This window comes from Homo sapiens, chromosome 16, assembly GCF_000001405.40.
Source record: "Homo sapiens chromosome 16, GRCh38.p14 Primary Assembly".
In the NCBI taxonomy this organism is placed as follows: domain Eukaryota; kingdom Metazoa; phylum Chordata; class Mammalia; order Primates; family Hominidae; genus Homo; species Homo sapiens.
Genome location: NC_000016.10, coordinates 4696321 through 4713331, shown reverse-complemented (window position 1 = coordinate 4713331; position 17011 = coordinate 4696321). Strand labels below are relative to the sequence as shown.

General features: G+C 51.3%; 1 protein-coding gene across 12 annotated transcripts in view; it reads left to right on the top strand.

Moving 5' to 3' along the window:
• Positions 1–16821, top strand: part of ANKS3 (ankyrin repeat and sterile alpha motif domain containing 3) — a 37761-nt gene extending 20940 nt beyond the window's left edge. For 11 of the 12 annotated variants that reach the window (NR_040252.2, NM_001324129.2, NM_001242929.2 and 8 more), the window contains 11 exons: positions 8079–8237; positions 11090–11230; positions 11789–11898; positions 12198–12362; positions 14156–14280; positions 14391–14532; positions 14733–14905; positions 15270–15355; positions 15916–15999; positions 16228–16315; positions 16436–16821. Coding sequence is in view for 11 of the 12 variants with exons in the window: in NM_001324129.2 (NP_001311058.1) it covers positions 8079–8237; positions 11090–11230; positions 11789–11898; positions 12198–12362; positions 14156–14280; positions 14391–14532; positions 14733–14905; positions 15270–15355; positions 15916–15999; positions 16228–16304 (1262 nt within the window). In the remaining variant the exon portion in view is untranslated. The remainder of the gene's footprint in view (positions 1–8078; positions 8238–11089; positions 11231–11788; positions 11899–12197; positions 12363–14155; positions 14281–14390; positions 14533–14732; positions 14906–15269; positions 15356–15915; positions 16000–16227; positions 16316–16435) is intronic. The other variant, NM_001324130.2, reaches the window with a different exon arrangement.
• The last annotated feature ends 190 nt before the right edge of the window (positions 16822–17011 follow it).

Here is a 17011-nt window from a genome sequence, read left to right as displayed (position 1 = left end):
TCACTGCATATTGTCAGTGCATTTGAAGGCAGTGGATTTCTGCAAACTTTTGTTTTTTTTTTGATACGGGAGTTTCGCTCTTGTTGCTCAGGCTGGAGTGCAATGAAGCGATCTTGCCTCACCGCAACCTCTTCCTCCCAGGTTCAAGCAATTTTGCCTCAGCCTCCCAGGTAGCTGGGATTACAGGCGTGCACCACCATGCCCGGCTAATTTTTTGTATTTTCAGTAGAGATGGGGTTTCTCCATGTTGGTCAGGCTGGTCTAGAACTCGCAACCTCAGGTGATCCACCCATCTCAGCCTCCCAAAGTGCTGGGATTACAGGTGTGAGCCACTGCACTCAGCCCTGCAAACTAATTTTATATTCTGCTACCTTACAGAATTCTTACATTGTTCAGGTTAGTTTTGTTATTGATTCTTTAGGGCTTTACAGGTGTACTAACATATAATCTTTAAGTATCGATGGATACACTGCTTCCTGCTGATTCTCATGACTCTGACTTTGTTGAATTGCACCGTTCTTTTGTTTAGTTGCTAACACCTCTAGCTCATTGTTCAACATAGTGGAGATAGTGAGCCTCCTTACCTTGGTCCTGATCTTAGTGGAAATGCCACGTTACATGAGAGGCTGACTGTAAAAGGGAAGGCATATGTTATTTTAGCTTATTAACAAAGTATTCCTCAGTTCTTCTATTCCTGAGTGGTGTTTTACAGGAGTAACTATTGAATTGTGTTCCCATATCTTTGGAGACGATGGTGAATTTTCATATGGTAGATTGTCTTCATGAACCTCCTAATAATGAATCAACCTTACATTCTTGGCATAAATCCCACATGTTGTACTATTTTAATGTGTTTTTGAATTCTGTTTATTAATATTTAGTATTTTTCTATGGATATTCAGTCATAAGTGATACTGGTCTATAGTTTTCTTTCTTCTTTTTTTTTGTTTTTGAAATGGAGTCTTGCTCTGTTGCCCAGGCTGGACTGGAGTGGCGAGATCTCAGCTCACTGCAACCTCCGCAACCTCCGCCTCCTGAGTTCAAGCAATTCTTCTGCCTCAGCCTCCCGAGTAGCTGGGATCACAGGCGTGCACCACTACACCCAGCTAATTTTTGTATTTTTAGTAGAGACGGGGTTTCACCATGTTGGCCAGGCTGGTCTCGAACTCCTGATCTCCAGTGATCCGCCTGCCTCAGCCTCCCAAAGTGCTGGGATTACAGGCGTGAGCCACCGCTCCCGGCGTGGTCTATACTTTTCTATTTTTGTTCTGTCTATCAGGTATGGGTATCAGTGTTTACTTCATAAAAATAATTTGGAAGTTTTCCTTCCTTTTTTGTGTTCTAGGACAATACACGTAGCATTAGTGCTACCTGGTCTTAGAAGTTTTGATAGAATCCTCCCATGAAACCATCTGGTCTCTTTCTGTGAGGTGGTTCCTCGATAACAGTTTTTCTATTTCTTCTATAGAGATTGGCCTCCTCATACTTTCTTTTCTTATGGGGTCAGTTTTGGTAAATTATATTTTCCTGAGAGATCACTTCATCTAGGATTTCAGACTTATCTGCAGAGGTCTACAAGATAATATTTTCTCCCTTTTTTTTTTTTTTTTTTTGAGACAGAGTTTCACTCTTGTTCCCCAGGCTGGAGTGCAGTGGCTCGATCTTGACTCACCGCAACCTCTGCCTCCCGGGTTCAAGTGATTCTCCTGCCTCAGCGTCCCAAGTAGATGGGATTACAGGCATGCGCTACCATGCCTGGATAATTTTATGTTTTTAGTAGAGACAGGGTTTCTCCATGTTGGCCGGGCTGGTCTCAAACTCCCGACCTCAGGTGGTCTGCCCACCTGGGCCTCCCAAAGTACTGGGATTATAGGTGTGAGCCACCGCACCCGGCCAATTTTTTTCTCCTTTTAAAATATTCTGTTTCAGGGCCAGGCGCGGTGGCTTATGCCTATAATCTCAGCACTTTGGAAGGCCGAGTTGGGCGGATCACCTGAGGTCGGGAGTTCGAGACCAGCCTGATCAGTATGGAGAAACCCCATCTCTACTAAAAATATAAAATTAGCTGGGCGTAGTGGTGCATGCCTGTAATCCCAGCTACTCGGGAGGCTGAGGTGGGAGAATCCCTTGAACCCGGGAGGCAGAGGTTGAGGTGAGCCGAGATCGTGCCATTGCAGTCCAGCCTAGGCAACAAGAGCGAAACTCTGTCTCAAAAAAAAAAAAAAAAAAAAAATTCTGTTTCAGGCTGGGTGCAGTGGCTCATGCCTGTAATCTCAGCACTTTGGGAGGCTGAGGCGTGTGGATCACTTGAGGTCAGGAGTTCAAGACCAGCCTGGCCAACATGGTGAAACCCCGTCTCCACTAAAAATACAAAAATAAGCCAATGTGGTGGTGTGCGCCAGCTACTCTGGAGGCTGAGGCAGGAGAATCACTTGAACCCGGGAGGGGGAGATTGCAGTAAGCCAAAATCACGCCACTGCACTCCAGCTTGGCGACAGAGCGAGACTCCATCTCAAAGAAAAGTAAATAGATAAAATAAAACAAAATAAAATACTCTGTTTCAGTGGTTATTTTCTCCTGTTATTATCTTTTTTTGGCATGGAAAATATTGATTTATTTTTTGTGACAGGGTCTTGCTTTGTCACCCAGGCTGGAGTCCAGTGACCCAATCTCGACTCAATGCAACCTCCGCCTCCCAGGCTCAAAACGATCCTTCTACCTCAGCTCTACGAGTAGCTAGGACTGTAGGTGCACCCTACCACGCCCAGCTTACGTTTGTATTTTTTGTAGAGAGGTGGTTTTGCCATGTTGACCAGGCTGGTCTCAAGAGTCCTGAGCTCAAGCAATCCACCCGCCTCAGCCTCCCAAAGTGCTGGGACTACAGGCATGAGCTACTGCACCTGACCTGGAAAATATTTATCTCATTTTTAATTGACACAAAATAACTACATATTTATGGGGTACAGTGTGTGATGTTTTGATACATGTATACACTGTGTAATGATCAAATTAAGGTGATTAGCTTATCCATCACCTCAAACATTTATCATTTCGAGGTGAGAACATTTAAAATCATGTCTTCTAGTAGCTATTTTGAGGTATAAGCTGTTGTTCCGTATAGTCACTCTACTGTGAACACCAGAACTTCTTTCTTCGATCTGTAATTTTACACCTATTGACCAATCTCTCCCACTACCTCCCCACCCCCAACCTCTGATAATCACTATTCTACTCTACATGTTTGACATGAGCTTTTAAAAATCCTGTAAATGGGTGACATCATGTAGTCATGTAGTCTTTTTTGTTGTTTGTTTGGTTTTTGAGACAGGTTCTCGCTTTGTCACCCAGGCTGGAGTGTGGTGGCATAATCTTGGCTCACTGCAGCCTCCAATTCCTGGGCTCAAGTGATCCTCCTATCTCAGCCTCCCGAGTAGCTGGCACTACAGGCACCTACCACCACACCTGGCTAATGTTTTATTTTTTTGTAGAGACGGGGTCTTGCTATACTGACCAGGTTGGTTTTGAACTCCTGGGCTCAAGTGATCCTCTCGCCTTGGCCTCCCAGAGTGTTGGGATTACAAGTGTGAGTCACCACAACAGCTGGCATTTGTCTTTCTTTTCTATGTCTGGCTTATTTTACTGAACATAGTCTCTTCCAGGCTTATTCATGTTGCCACAAATGATCAGATTTCATTCTTTATGTCTGAATAATATTCAATTGTGTATATAAACTCATTTTCTGTCTTCGTTCATCCACTGATGGACACAGGTTGATTCTCTATCTAGGCTACTGTGAATACTGCGGCAGTAAACATGAGGGTGTAGACATCTCTTTGGTATACTGATTTCCTTTCTTTTGGATAAATACCCAGTAGTGGAATTGCTGGATCTCATTTCTTATATTTTTTAATTTTTTTTTTTTTTTGAGATGGAGTTTCGCTCTTGTTTCCTAGGCTGGAGTGCAATGGCACGATCTTGGCTCACTGCAACCTCCACCTCCCGGGTTCAAGCGATTCTCCTGCCTCAGCCTCCCTAGTAGCTGGGATTACAGGCATGTGCCACCACGTCTGGCTAATTTTGCATTTTTGGGAGAGACAGGGTTTCTCCATGTTGGTCAGGGTGGTCTCGAACTCCCGACATAAGGTGGTCCACCCGACTCGGCCTCCCAAAGTGCTGGGATTACAGGCATGAACCGCTGCACCCGGCAAAAATTTCTTCTATTAAAAAAAATAGAGACAGTGTCTCAGTATGTTGCCCAGGCTGGTCTCAAACTCCTGGGCCCAAGCGATCCTCCCACCTCAGTCTCCCACAGTGCTGAGATTATAGGCATGAGCCACTGCGCCCGGCCTCACTTCTTATTTTGAATATTTGTGTTTGTTCTTTTTTTTTTTTTGAGACAGAGTCTCGCTCTGTTGCCCAGGCTGGAGTGCAGTGGCGCGATCTCGGCTCACTGCAACCCCCGCCTCCCAGGTTCAAGCGATTCTCCTGCCTCAGCCTTTTGAGTAGCTGGGACTACAGGGTGCCCACCACCACACCTGGCTAATTTTTTTTTTGTATTTTTAGTAGAGACAGGGTTTCACTGTGTTAGCCAGGATGGTCTCGATCTCCTCACCTCGTGATCTGCCCACCTCGGCCTCCCAAACTGCTAGAATTACAGGTGTGAGCCACCGTGCGCAGCCTCTTCCTTTTTTTCTTAAGTTAAATACTAGTACTTTGTCTGTTTAGTGGAAAAACAAGAAAAACCCATCGGATTTTGATTTATTAATGAGACCTACTGATTGTCTGTTTAATTTCTGCTTTTATTTTTATTTGGCTTACTTTGTTGTTCTAGTTTTTTGAGTTGGAAACTTCTTTCATTTTCATTGTTGCCCTTTTGTTGCTAAATGTTAGAGGCTGTGAATTTTTGCTGATTGCTGCTTTAAGTGTATTCTGGGGGTTCTGTATTTAATACTTTCCTTGTTATTTTTAGAAATTCTGTAATTTTTATTTATATTTTCTCCTTCACCCAGGAGTTGTCTAATAGAAGTATTATGATTGTTTTTGTTTGTTAATTTCTAGATGGAAGGGCCTTTTTGATCTTGCAATTAATTTCTCATGTTATTCTGATTAACTTTAATGTGTCTGATCAGAGAGTGTTTATAATTCTTACATTTACATAACTTCCTTGTCATCTTATTTATCATCTACTGATCTATCTATATATATATATATTTTTTTCAGATGTAGTCTCACTCTGTCACCCAGGCTGGAGTGCCCAAGTGCGATCTTGACTCACTGCAACCTCTGCCTCCCAGGTTCAAGCGACTCTCCTGCCTCAGCCTCCCGAGTAGTTGGGATTCCAGGCATCTGCCACCACGCCTGGCTCATTTTTTTTTGTATTTTTAGTAGGGACAGGGTTTCACCATGTTGGCCAGGTTGGTCTTGAAGTCCTGACCTCAAGTGATCCGCCCACCTCGGCCTCCCAAAGTGCTGGGATTACAGGCGTGAGCCACCGCGCCCGGCCCTGATCAATATTTTTTAGTGTTCCGTGTTTTGCTTGAGAAGTTGTATTCTCTATTATCTGTATACAGTTTAGCATATCTGTGAGTCTATCTTATTTAGGATTATGTACTCTTAGTTCATTTTCTACAAAATTACCTATTAGCGTGTTTCTGATTTATGAAGGAAGTTGGTGCATTTTTTGGTGACAGATTTTCATAACTTGTTATAGATTCACTGTGAATTATGGCTTTTAGTATTAGAAGTGTCCTTCTGGCTGGGCATGGCCCATACCTGTAATCCGAGCACTTTGGGAGGCCAAGGCGGGCAGATCCCCTGAGGTCAGGAGTTCGAGACCAGTCCAGCCTACATGGTGAAACCTTGTCTCTACTCAAAATACACAAATTAGCCAGGCATGGTGGCACATACTTACAATCCCAGCTACTCGGGAGGCTGAGGCAGGAGAATCACTTGAACCCGGGAGGCGGAGGTTACAATGAGCCGAGATTGTGCCACTGCACTCCAGCCTAGGTGACGGAGTGAAACTCTGTTTCAAAAAAAAAAAAAAAAAAGTGTCCTTCCGTGTCATATTTAATGTGTTTTGCCCTGAATTCCACGTTGATAGCAGGATTGCAGCCCTGGCTCTTTTGTGGTTTCCATCTGCCTGTTCTTTTTAAGCTGCTCTGAGGGTGTGTTGGGTGCTGAGATTCACGCAGCTGCCGTTCCCTTGCTTATTGCTGCCTCTTTGCATTTGTCTTACAGCTCCCTCCCCTTCAGCTTGGATGGAAGCACAGTCTCCCTGGAGTGCTATAGATCTTTGAGTGTGAGGAGGTGTGTGTCCATATGGCTAGCTCAGTCGCCAGAGCTTGAGCCTCGTCATGGGGAAGGACAGAGTGGCCCACGTTCAGGGCCTGAGCTCTCCCTCTTTGCTGGCCTGCCCTGAGTTGTCCTGTCAGTTTGCACCTGAGCGAGCAGCTCCTTTCTCAGTGTCAGGCTCAGCCCAGCCTCTTCCCTGGCATTGGGATTGTTTCATAATAAACACAGCTCAGGTGGTAATGCAAAGGACCTTTCCCTTCATTTCTGCCCCAGCTTACCCACTCCACAAGGAGATCTCATCATTTCCTCCTGTATACAACTCACGTATCTCTTAAAAGTAGAATCAGATCAGAGCCTTATACAAATCAAATATGAAAAACTGAAAAGCTACAAAATAATAAAAGCTCTGGTTTGAGCTCTGAAAGCTCAGACTGGGAAGTGATTTGAAACAGTTTATAATCATAGCAAACACATGCCATGCTTTAGAAAATACAAAATTGTGGCTGGGCGCTGTGGCTCACTCCTGTGATGCCAGCACTTTGTGGGAGGCCAAGGTGGGCGGATCACAAGGTCAGGAGATCGAGACCAGCCTGGCCAACATGGTGAAACCCCGTCTCTACTAAAAATACAAAAACAAGATTAGCTGGGCATGGTGGCCGGGTGCCTGTAGTCCCAGCTACTTGGGAGCCTGAGGCAGGAGAGTGGCGTGAACCCAGGAGGTGGAGCTTGCAGTGAGCCGTGATCGCACCATTGCACTCCTGCCTGGGTGACAGAGCAAGACTCCGTCTCAAAAAAATAAAGAAAAAAAAAAGAAAATACAGAATTGCTTAATAAGTTGTTTCCAGCCGGGCACAGTGGTAACGTGCCTATAATCCCAGCACTTTGCGAGGCTGAGGTGGGTGGATCACCTGAGGTCAGGAGTTCAAGACCAGCCTAATATGATGAAACCCCATCTCTACTAAAATATAAAAATTAGCTGGGTATGGTGGCATCTGCCTATAATTCCCAACTACTCGGGAGGCTGAGATAGGAGAATTGCTTGAACCCAGGAGGCGGAAGTTCCAGCCTGGGCAGCAAGAGCAAAACTCCTTCTCAAAAGAAAAAAAAAAAAGTTGTTTCCAAAGGAAGGGATTAGGAAAAAGTAGTTGTGACTTATATTACCATATATTTTAATGAAGAGATGGGTTTTACTTATTCAAATTAGAACAGAATTTCTGATTATGAACAATACAGACTTATGAACAATTTGGCAAACCCCAACAGAGATAATAAACTCCTGGCTGGGCATGGTGGCTCATGCCTGTAATCCCAGCACTTTGGGAGGCCAAGGCAGGCAGATCAGGAGTTTGAGACCAGCCTGGCCAACATGGCAAAAGCCTGTGTCTACTGAAAAAGAAAAGAAAAAAAACACTGGGCATGGTGGCACGCATCTGTAACCGCAGCTACTTGGAAGGGTGAGGCGTGAGAATCGCTAGAACCCAGGAGGCGGAGGTTGCAGTGAGTGAGCCAAGATCATGCCATTACACTTCAGCTCGGGGGACAGAGTGAGACTCTGTCTCAAGAAAAATGAAACTTCCCATCCTCACTAACTTTGCAGCTCCCTGTGGCCCATTGGAGCAGCGCCCCGGCCTGTTAGGGCATTTCTCAGAAGTGATGCCCTGGCAGATACCCTTCTCCTTAATTTAACAAAACCGGCGACAGTCACTTTCTTTCAGTTTGCCGTAAGGATTAGTAAATGAGTCCATTACTGAACACACTATCTTAATCTTGGTGTTTGATCACAGAAAAGTACGAAGATCTGAGCTCTTCTGACGAGTCCTGCCCTGCTCCTCAGAGACAGAGGCCTTGCCGGAAGAAGGGTGTCAGCATCCACGAGGGACCGCGAGCCCTGGCCAGGATCACAGGCATTGGCCTGGGCGGCAGAGCCCCACGGCCTCGCTATGGTGAGTGGCCCGCGTTTCCCGAGGGCTCTTTCTCATTGCATACCAGGATTTTGTGTTGGCAAGAATGGAATAGCTCTTAGGCTCCTGAAATGTGGGTCGCTGGACCTCAGGTGGCAGCGGGACAGGTGGCCCAGCTTTCATGCTCAGGGAGACTCAGGATTGAGTCCTGTGATGGAAATGCATTGGTCACGGACTAGCTCTTGTTTTTTGCTTTATCTCCTGGAGTTTCCTTTTCGTTGGTTAAATTTAGGAATAGAACTTTCTCTCCTGCAGCAGAAATGTAGCTAAGGTCAGATTTCATTCATCACATAGGTGGGTTGGCTCATACAGGGAGGAGGCAAAGCGTGAAGTTCACTTCCCTGCCCTGCCCATACCAGCTGGGTCGGGTGCGCTGCTGGGGGCAGGAGGCCAAGAAAACAGGCCCTGCTGTTTTCTCAGGGCGATGAAGTTGTACTCAGACCCTCCTGAGAGAGGGCCCGCTTGTTGACTTGCTGGTGAAGAATCCTAGCCTTTGGGTTTTCCAGTCTCGTTCATTCTCAGATTCCCAGCCCCAGGGTGTTGAGCGTTTTGCTCTTGGGGAGTGCTGGGGTTTCTTTTTAGGGGAGTTGGGTTTGGTGCCTACTCTCTATTGCTGTGGTCTGTCCCAGAGCTCAGCTGGAGGTGTGAGTTATGTCTTCCTTTGATGGCTGTCACCCACTCATAGCCAGGCCAAGGCTGCTGGTCTCACAGGCCTGGTGGCTGGTCCTTCTCGGGAGCAAGGCCTCTTTGAGGCCAGGACTTGGAAGAGTGAGAGTAGACAGTGTTTCAGCCAGGGGTCCACCAGTAATTGAATTCCCTTCTAGACCCCAGGAACAAGCAGATGTGCAGACTTCTGTCTTCCCAAGCCTGGGTGCTGGGTTGGGAACTGGAGACCCACCTTCTCCCATCATCCTGGGAAGGGTGAGCTGACTGGGCCACTGGGAAGGCCTCTCTCGAGCTGCTGGCCAGCCCCACCACAGCATGAGGGCCCGCCCGTGTCCCGTCCGCTGAGCTGTGAGCACTGGCTCTGGGACACCGGGCTGGTCGTTCTGAGTGGCAGAGTCTCTTCCTTCCAAAAGGTCCCTGCCACCTGCTACAGCCTGAGGTGTGGTGGGGACAGGAAGGAAGCTGTCATCCTGGGGCTGAGTTGGTAATTAATCTATATAGCTGTACAACAAATGCTTTAACAAAATCATACATGTCTGAAGCCGCTTGTGTGCGGTTCTTTGTATGTATCCACAGAGAAGTAATCATGGTGGTGGTCTCAGGTGTGGTATTTCAGGGGATTTTTGTTTTCTCATACCTTGTGAAATTTAAATTTTCTATAAGTGCATATATTTTATTTGCCAGTAATTAAGAAATTTGGGGCCGGGCGCAGTGGCTCACGCCTGTAATCCCAGCACTTTGGGAGGCCGAGGCAGGTGGATCAAGAGATCCAGACCATCCTGGCCAACATGGTGAAATCCCATCTTTACTAAAAATGCAAAAATTAGCTGGGCATGGTAGTACGTGCCTATAATCCCAGCTACTCGGGAGGCTGAGGCAGGAGAATCGGTTGAACCCGGGAGGCGGAGGTTGCAGTGAGCCGAGATTGTGCCACTGCACTCCAGTCTGGTGACAGAGCAAGACTCCGTCTCAAAAAAAAAAAAAAAAAATTGGGGGGGCCAGGTGCAGTGGCTTATACCTGTAATCCCAGCACTTTGGAAGGCTGAGGTAGGAAGATTGCTTGGGCTCAGGAGTTGTGAGACCAGCCTGGGCAATGTAGCAAGACCCTATCTCTACAAAAAATTTTGAAAATTAGCCAGATATGGTGGCCCATGCCTGTAGCCCCAGTTACATGAGAGGCTGAGGTGGAAGGATTGCTTGAGCCCAGGAGGTCAAGGCTGTAGTGACCCATGATGGTGCCATTGCATTCCAGTCTGGATAACACAGCAAGACCCTGTCTCAAAAACAGTTTAGGGGGCAATGATAAATAGCATGTGCTGATTAGAAAAACTTCTCCATAACTAGGAAAATACGTAAAGAGGAAAGTAAGTTCCCCATGGTCCCATCAACCAGTCCTTTGGGTTCTTTTTTGAGACAGGGTTTCACTGTAGCCCAGGCTGGAGTGCAGTGGCACGATCATAGCTCACTGAAGGCTCCAGTTCCTGAGCTCAAGCGATCCTCCTGTCTCAGCCTCCCAAGTAGCTGAGATTACAGACATGTGCCACCGTGACTGGTCAAGTCAGTCTTTTTATGTAAAGGGGCAAAACTGGAGTGAAATTGCCTGGTATACATGCCCCTTTTTCTGCTTGGTTTTAGAGGCAGGTAGAGTTAGGTAATTTCATATTATTGTTGTTAATTTTTACCTCAAGGCCTTTTTCCTTCCTGCTCAGCCAGGTCTCTTTTTCGCCGGGGTTGACTGACCAGAGGAGGCCCGCTAAGCGCCTGTGGTTAAAGGTCACAGGGACATAAAGACACGTGGTCGATGGGTGTCTGTGTGAGGTCATTAGCTACCTCCTGCTAAAAGGAACACTCATGGTATAGTTTTCTCTGGTCAGGCATCTGTAAATACAGCTGACCATTTGCTACGTTTTCCCCTTGGAAAAGAAATGGAGAGGGCCCAGGCTTGACCTGGCTGCCAGCCCTCGCCCCACCAGGCACTTGCTTGGGCCACTGACTGACCCTCAGAGCATCTTTTCCACCCACACACCACAGATAGAGCCATGCCAGGTCGCAGGGGCAAGTAGGTGAGGTCATGACTGGGAAGTCACCTGCCTCCATCCTGGGCCTCGGCCTCTGAGGAGGTTTCACTTTGGAGTTCCCTGGGCTTATGGGCCCCATTCTGTACACAGAGCAGGCTCCTCCCCGTGGCTATGTCACCTTCAACAGCAGTGGCGAGAACCCCCTGGAAGAAGAGGGCCTCTGCTGCCGGGATGTCACCTCCCCCATCAATGAGCGGGATGTGGAGAGCAGCAGCAGCAGCAGCAGTCGGGGTACGTGCACCCCCACCCATCCGGCCCGTGGCTCAGGCAGGTCCTGGAGCTCCTGTGTGCCCATCCCCACTTATCCCCTGGGCCTGGCGCTGGACACAGCCATCCAGCAGAGGACAGGAAAGGGGTAGGTGTGGACGGCCCTGGTTCTTGTGAGGAATGGGAGAAGCTTCTGGTCCAGCATCCCCGTGCGGCTTAAGGGAGCCGTTCCACAGCAACAGGTTTAGCTCCTTGCTTGGGAGCCCCTGAGGCTTTCAGGGCAGGCCCCAGTAGGAATGTCTGTTATAACTGCACCTCCGTGCAGCAGCTGTTTCCATAGTGCCCACCGTGTGCCAAGCACTGCTCCGGGTGCTTGGGATTTATCAGTGAACAAAAAAGACAGAAGCCCTGCCCGTCTGTATAGAGGGGAGGGTTTAGGACAGGCAGGAAGTTTGAAATATAAGGAAGCAACCGCTGCAGGCCCCAAGGAGTGCCCTGGTGGAGGCGGCTCAGCCCGGGGCACGCCCATGCGCAGCACCTCGGTGAGGGCTGCAGGCGGACGCCCTGTCTTCCCGCCCTCAGAGGAACATGCTTTCTGTGCCAACCTGGGGCCCGTCCAGAGCAGCAGCAGCAGCGAGGGCCTGGCCAGAGCCCAGGGGCTCAGCAGCGAAGCTTCTGTGGAGAGCAACGAGGTACGGATTCTTTCTTTCTTGGTCTCCCATAGCCGGTCCCTGGCTGGGATGCCTGACATCCCCCAGTTACTTTAAGATGAGCATGTATGTAAGAAGCAGCTGCTGCACGTGTGTGCTGCACTGGGACGTGCTGTGTCCAGGGTCTGGCTTCTCAGACGACAGCGAACGCACCGGAAGCCCCTGTGTGGCGGGTGGGGGGTTTCACGAAGCCTCTCAAGCCCCTGTGTGGCGGGTGGGGGTTTCACCAAGGCTCTCAAGTTAGCCCGCGCACTCTTTCAGATGCACGCCTCTCACTGCAGGACTCGGATCATGCCTGTAAAAGCTCAGCTCGCAAACAAGCTAAAAGTTACATGAAGACCAAGAATCCTGACAGCCAGTGGCCTCCCCGCGCTGCAACTGACAGGGAAGGCTTTCTCGCTGAGTCCAGCCCCCAGACTCAGAGGGCCCCCTACTCAGGACCCCAGGTAAGACCGCTTGTGAAACTGGAGGTTACACTCAGAGACGGCACTTTTTGTGACTTAGGAGGCATGTGTTGTGTATATGACGTGCCAGGCGCTGCTAGGAGAACAGAATGGCGGTGGCATCCCCATGGCCTGTTAGGCTCCACAGGCTCACAGCCGGCTCCATGGCTGGCAGCCCCGCTGCAGCGCTTCTACTCTGTTCCTCTCCACGGAAAGGACCTGTCTCCCTGCTTTCCATACTGGAGTTGGCCTCCCTGAGCCTGGGGAGAAGAAAAGCACACTTGACCTCAGAGCTGCCTGCAGGAGTCTGACAAGATGTGGTTGAAGCAGAGACAGGAACTACACACAGTGTGTGCTTGGTGATGGTTACAGCTGCCACCATCCTCCTCCTTTCTGTGGTCCCTCTGACCACACATTACCTTAGGGATCAGAGGTGTGACTCACAGCTCAGCTGTCTCACCTGTGTCTGCTGAGTTCTCCTACCCTGTGTGGGCAGAAGAGGCACGGAGAGGAGAGGCAGAGGGAAGCTCTGGTTGGTTATTTGGTTTGTTTGTTCGAGACGGAGTCTCGCACTGTCATCTGGGCTGGAGTGCAGTGGCGCGATCTCGGCTCACTGCAACCTCCTCCTCCTGGGTTCAAGCGATTCTCCTGCCTCAGCCTCCCAAGTAGCTGGGATTACAGGCACCCGCCACCATGCCCATCTAATTTTTTGTATTTTTAGTAGAGACGGGATTTCACTATGTTGGCCAGGCTGGTCTCAAATTCCTGACATCGTGATCCGCCCGCCTCGACCTCCCAAAGTGCTGGGATTACAGGCGTGAGCCACCACACCTGGCCTGGTGCCATGCCCGGCCTGGCTGGTTATTTGTTAAAGCACTGGCTTTGCTGTTCAGTAGAGCCTTGGATTTGCCGGCTTCTCCCTGCAGCCCCTGGCTCAGTGAGCAGGCACACGTCTCGGTCCCTTCAACATACGTTGAGTGGAGTCTGGTCAGGGTAGTGTCCTAAGTATGTTTCTTTCAGAAAATAGCTTGAAGAAAATGTCAGAGTAACATTTGTTTGTCCATTAAAAGCAATAAACTCTCAAAAGTAGGATTTCTGGAGTTGAAAAGTAAATGAAATGAAAATATCACTAGACGAGCTCACAGCAGAATTGAGCAGGCAGAAGAGTCAGACAACTTGTGAACACAGGTCACCTGAGATCATCTCGCTTGAGGAACAGAAAGAATGAGTAAAAAAAATTAACAGAAATCTGTGATCCCCTCAAGCACACCGACACCACCCCATACAGTGGCATTCCAGAAGGAGAGCAGAAACGATGGGTGAGAAACAGCCTGACCATCTCAGTGGATCAGAAACACGGATCTTACATCCAGGGAGCTCGGTGAACTCCAGACAGGTGAACTCGGAGAAGAGCTGCGCTTAGACAAGTGGAAATCAGAACATCCGACACTGAGACTCTAGAATTAGAGGGCAGCGCTCTCCGCCTACAAAGCATTGTCGAGATCAGCAGCTCCATGGTCCCTTCACAGAACTGAGCATGTGTGGGAGGAGGAGGCCAGTTTCTGGTGATGAACATACATTGTCCCCACGTGGCCGACCATAGTGTGAGGACTCACCTGCCTGCAACATCCTGCCCTGCCTGAGCCACCAGAGTAGGAGGGGACAGCCTGGGCGCCACACACAAGGCACTGTCTTGGTTCTGAGCCTGGGGAAGTGGTGGGGCTCCGAGTGGAGGAAAACGTCTCTGCTTCGTCGTCAGCCACTACCTCCCCCAACCTGTCCCCTGTGCCTGCCAGGACCTTGCCGCACTGCTGGAGCAGATCGGGTGTCTGAAGTACCTGCAGGTGTTTGAGGAGCAGGACGTGGACCTCCGCATCTTTCTGACCCTCACTGAGAGCGACCTGAAGGAAATTGGCATCACGTGCGTCCAGAAGGGCCGCTCTGGCCCTCAGCCCGGGGTTGGGGCAAACTCCCACTCATGTAAGCGCTCTTGGGACGCTGAGGCATATCCTGGTCACATTCCCCCCGCAGGCTGTTTGGGCCCAAGAGGAAGATGACGTCCGCCATTGCCCGCTGGCACAGCAGTGCCCGCCCACCCGGGGATGCCCTGGAGCTGGCCTACGCCGACCGGCTGGAGGCTGAGATGCAGGAGCTCGCCATCCAGCTGCACAAGGTGAGTGGCTGGGTGGGGGATGGGGGGGCAGGGTGACACCCGTGAGTTGGCTCCATCTCTGACAGAAAAGGTGGGTGCTGTGTGGAGGGGTCAGGTGGATGCAGTGGGGAGAGGGCCCCACACACAGGACAGGGCCGTGGCCAAGGGTCTGGCTTGACCGGCCACCTCCCAGCCTCCCCGCGCCCCCCACCCCCCTGCAGCGCTGCGAGGAGGTAGAGGCCACGCGGGGCCAGGTGTGTCAGGAGCAGGAGCTGCGCGCCGTGGTGGAGAGCTGCCTGCTGGAGCAGGACCGCGCCCGCGAGGACCTCCAGGCCCGGCTGCGGGAGACGTGGGCCCTGGCCCGGGATGCTGCCCTCGTCCTGGACCAGCTGCGGTGAGTGGCTCTGAGCTGCCCTGGGCTGGGTCTCCAGTGGTCAGCCACCTGGCCCCTGGGCCCCCACACATCCTTTCCTCCTGATTTTGTAACTGAGGGGTGGATTTCAGGGTCTGGAGCCACCCCACCCCCATTTCATCAGGCCCTTCCTTCCTGCAGGCAGACCCAGGCAGGAGTTGGGTCCGGGAATCTGCACCGGTCGCCCTCCTGCTCTTTAGTGCAGCCTCATGGGGCACTGGCCCAGCCCATGAGGGCCAGCTGCAAGGACAGGGCTGAGCCCCTCCCTCCCCTAGAAGGTCTGAGGTGGGGGCTCTGCAGCGGCCAGGCCTCTGCTCTCACCAATATTTGTTTCTGTGTCTGGCAGAGCCTGTCAAGCTGAGCTGTCATCTCGAGTGAGGCAGGACCAGCCCCCTGGTGCAGCCACTCTGGGCCTAGCCGTCCCCCCAGCTGGTAAGAGCAGTGGCCTGACTCCGCACTGGGCAGAGGGGAAGGTGGGGGAGCCCTGAAGCCAGGTTTGACCCAGTGGGCTTGGCCTGGTTCTCCGGCCGGCAGCCACTCTCCCAGGTCCCTGTGTGCACATGATCCCAGAGTCCAAGGAAAAGAGGGGGCCCTGGGGACCCAAGCCCACTTCCTCACCTGTGACAGGAAAACTGCCTATCCCCCAGGGGTAGGAGGTACTCGAGAAAGGCCCTGTGCCTTGGCTGGCTGTGCTGTGCTGAGACCGCCAGTGACTTCTGTAGCCTCCAGCCAGGGCCCAGACCCGGGTCCCCACCGGCAGAGCTTTGCCTTCTCTCGGGCTGACCCGGGCCTCGTAGTGTTTGCTCAGCCTGTGGGAGGAAGGGCACAACAGGGCTTCCCTGCCTCGGCCTTGGGAGGTTGCTTAGACACTGTCAGGCGGGTAGGGAGGTTCTGATCCAAGCAGGTTCTCCTGGTTGCATGGGCTCAGAATAAAGCAGGGCCTGTGGGGACGCAGACCCCCAGCTAACTCGGTCCCTGCACCTGCACCACAGACTCCAAGGGCTGGCAAGCGTCCCTGCAGGCCATGAGCCTCCCCGAGCTCTCGGGAGCCCTGGAGGACCGTGTCCGTGAGATGGGTGAGTCTCCGGGGACCAGACGACTGAGCGCTCCTTTTGTTTCCGAGGGAGGCAAAGGGACCCCTTTCCAGGGAAAGCGGGTTTGTGTCTCTCTACCCCAAGGCTGACCTCGGGGCTGGGGCCATAACGGGTGAGGGGCAGGTCACATCCTGCAGCTGAGACCCCGGGGCAGCACCACCCAGCCCTCCTGAGCCTGGCCGGGAGAGGCTCAAGGTCATCATTCCTCAGGGCAAGCACTGTGCTTAGTGACCCAGAGCCTGGAGAAGCTGCAGGTGCTGAACGGGAAGAAGTGGCGGGAGACCTAGCCTGCGGGCCGGTGAGTGTCTGCCAGCCTGGATCCCGCGTGGTGGGAGCAGCAGGGCCTGTCTGGGCGGCTGCAGGTGTGGGTATGCACCCACCTGTCCCCCTCCCTTCTCACCGGGGCTTTTTCTTTCAGAATCTGACGTTGGGTGATTGGTCCACCCTGAAGCTGTGTGCCAGGGAGTGAGGAGGACAGTGAGCAGGTAGCTGCCATGTGCAGCCCAGGCCCAGTGGGGGCCAGAGGATCAGGCCCCGGGAGCAGCCGGCAGACAGAGGCAAGACGGGGGCTGCGGCCCTGGCTCGGCAGCTCGGGCCAGCACTGAGGCGGGACGAGGGCCTCACCCAGAACCTCGTGGTGAGGCCCAGAGTTCATGGGCTGCCCTGGCCCATACCAGGCAGGGCCCTGGGGGGAAAGTGTATCCATATACACGCACAGGTGCCAACTGAGGTGGGACCTTAGGAATGAGGACTGGGGCACCTGGAAAATGCCATTTTTTGGAAAATAAAATTTAAGAACAGCTAGTGAAGGGCTCAGTTCTGGTCACATGACATGAGGCACTGGCCAATGCAGCAACCCTGACTGCCCTGTCCTCTGCTGTTCAGGGGTGTGTCTTTTGCTCCTGGAGCCCAGACAACTCAAGATAAGGCTTTGAGAGCCAAGAACATCCCCAGCCCGCCGTAGCACAGGGCCTCCCCCGGGACATGCTGCTCT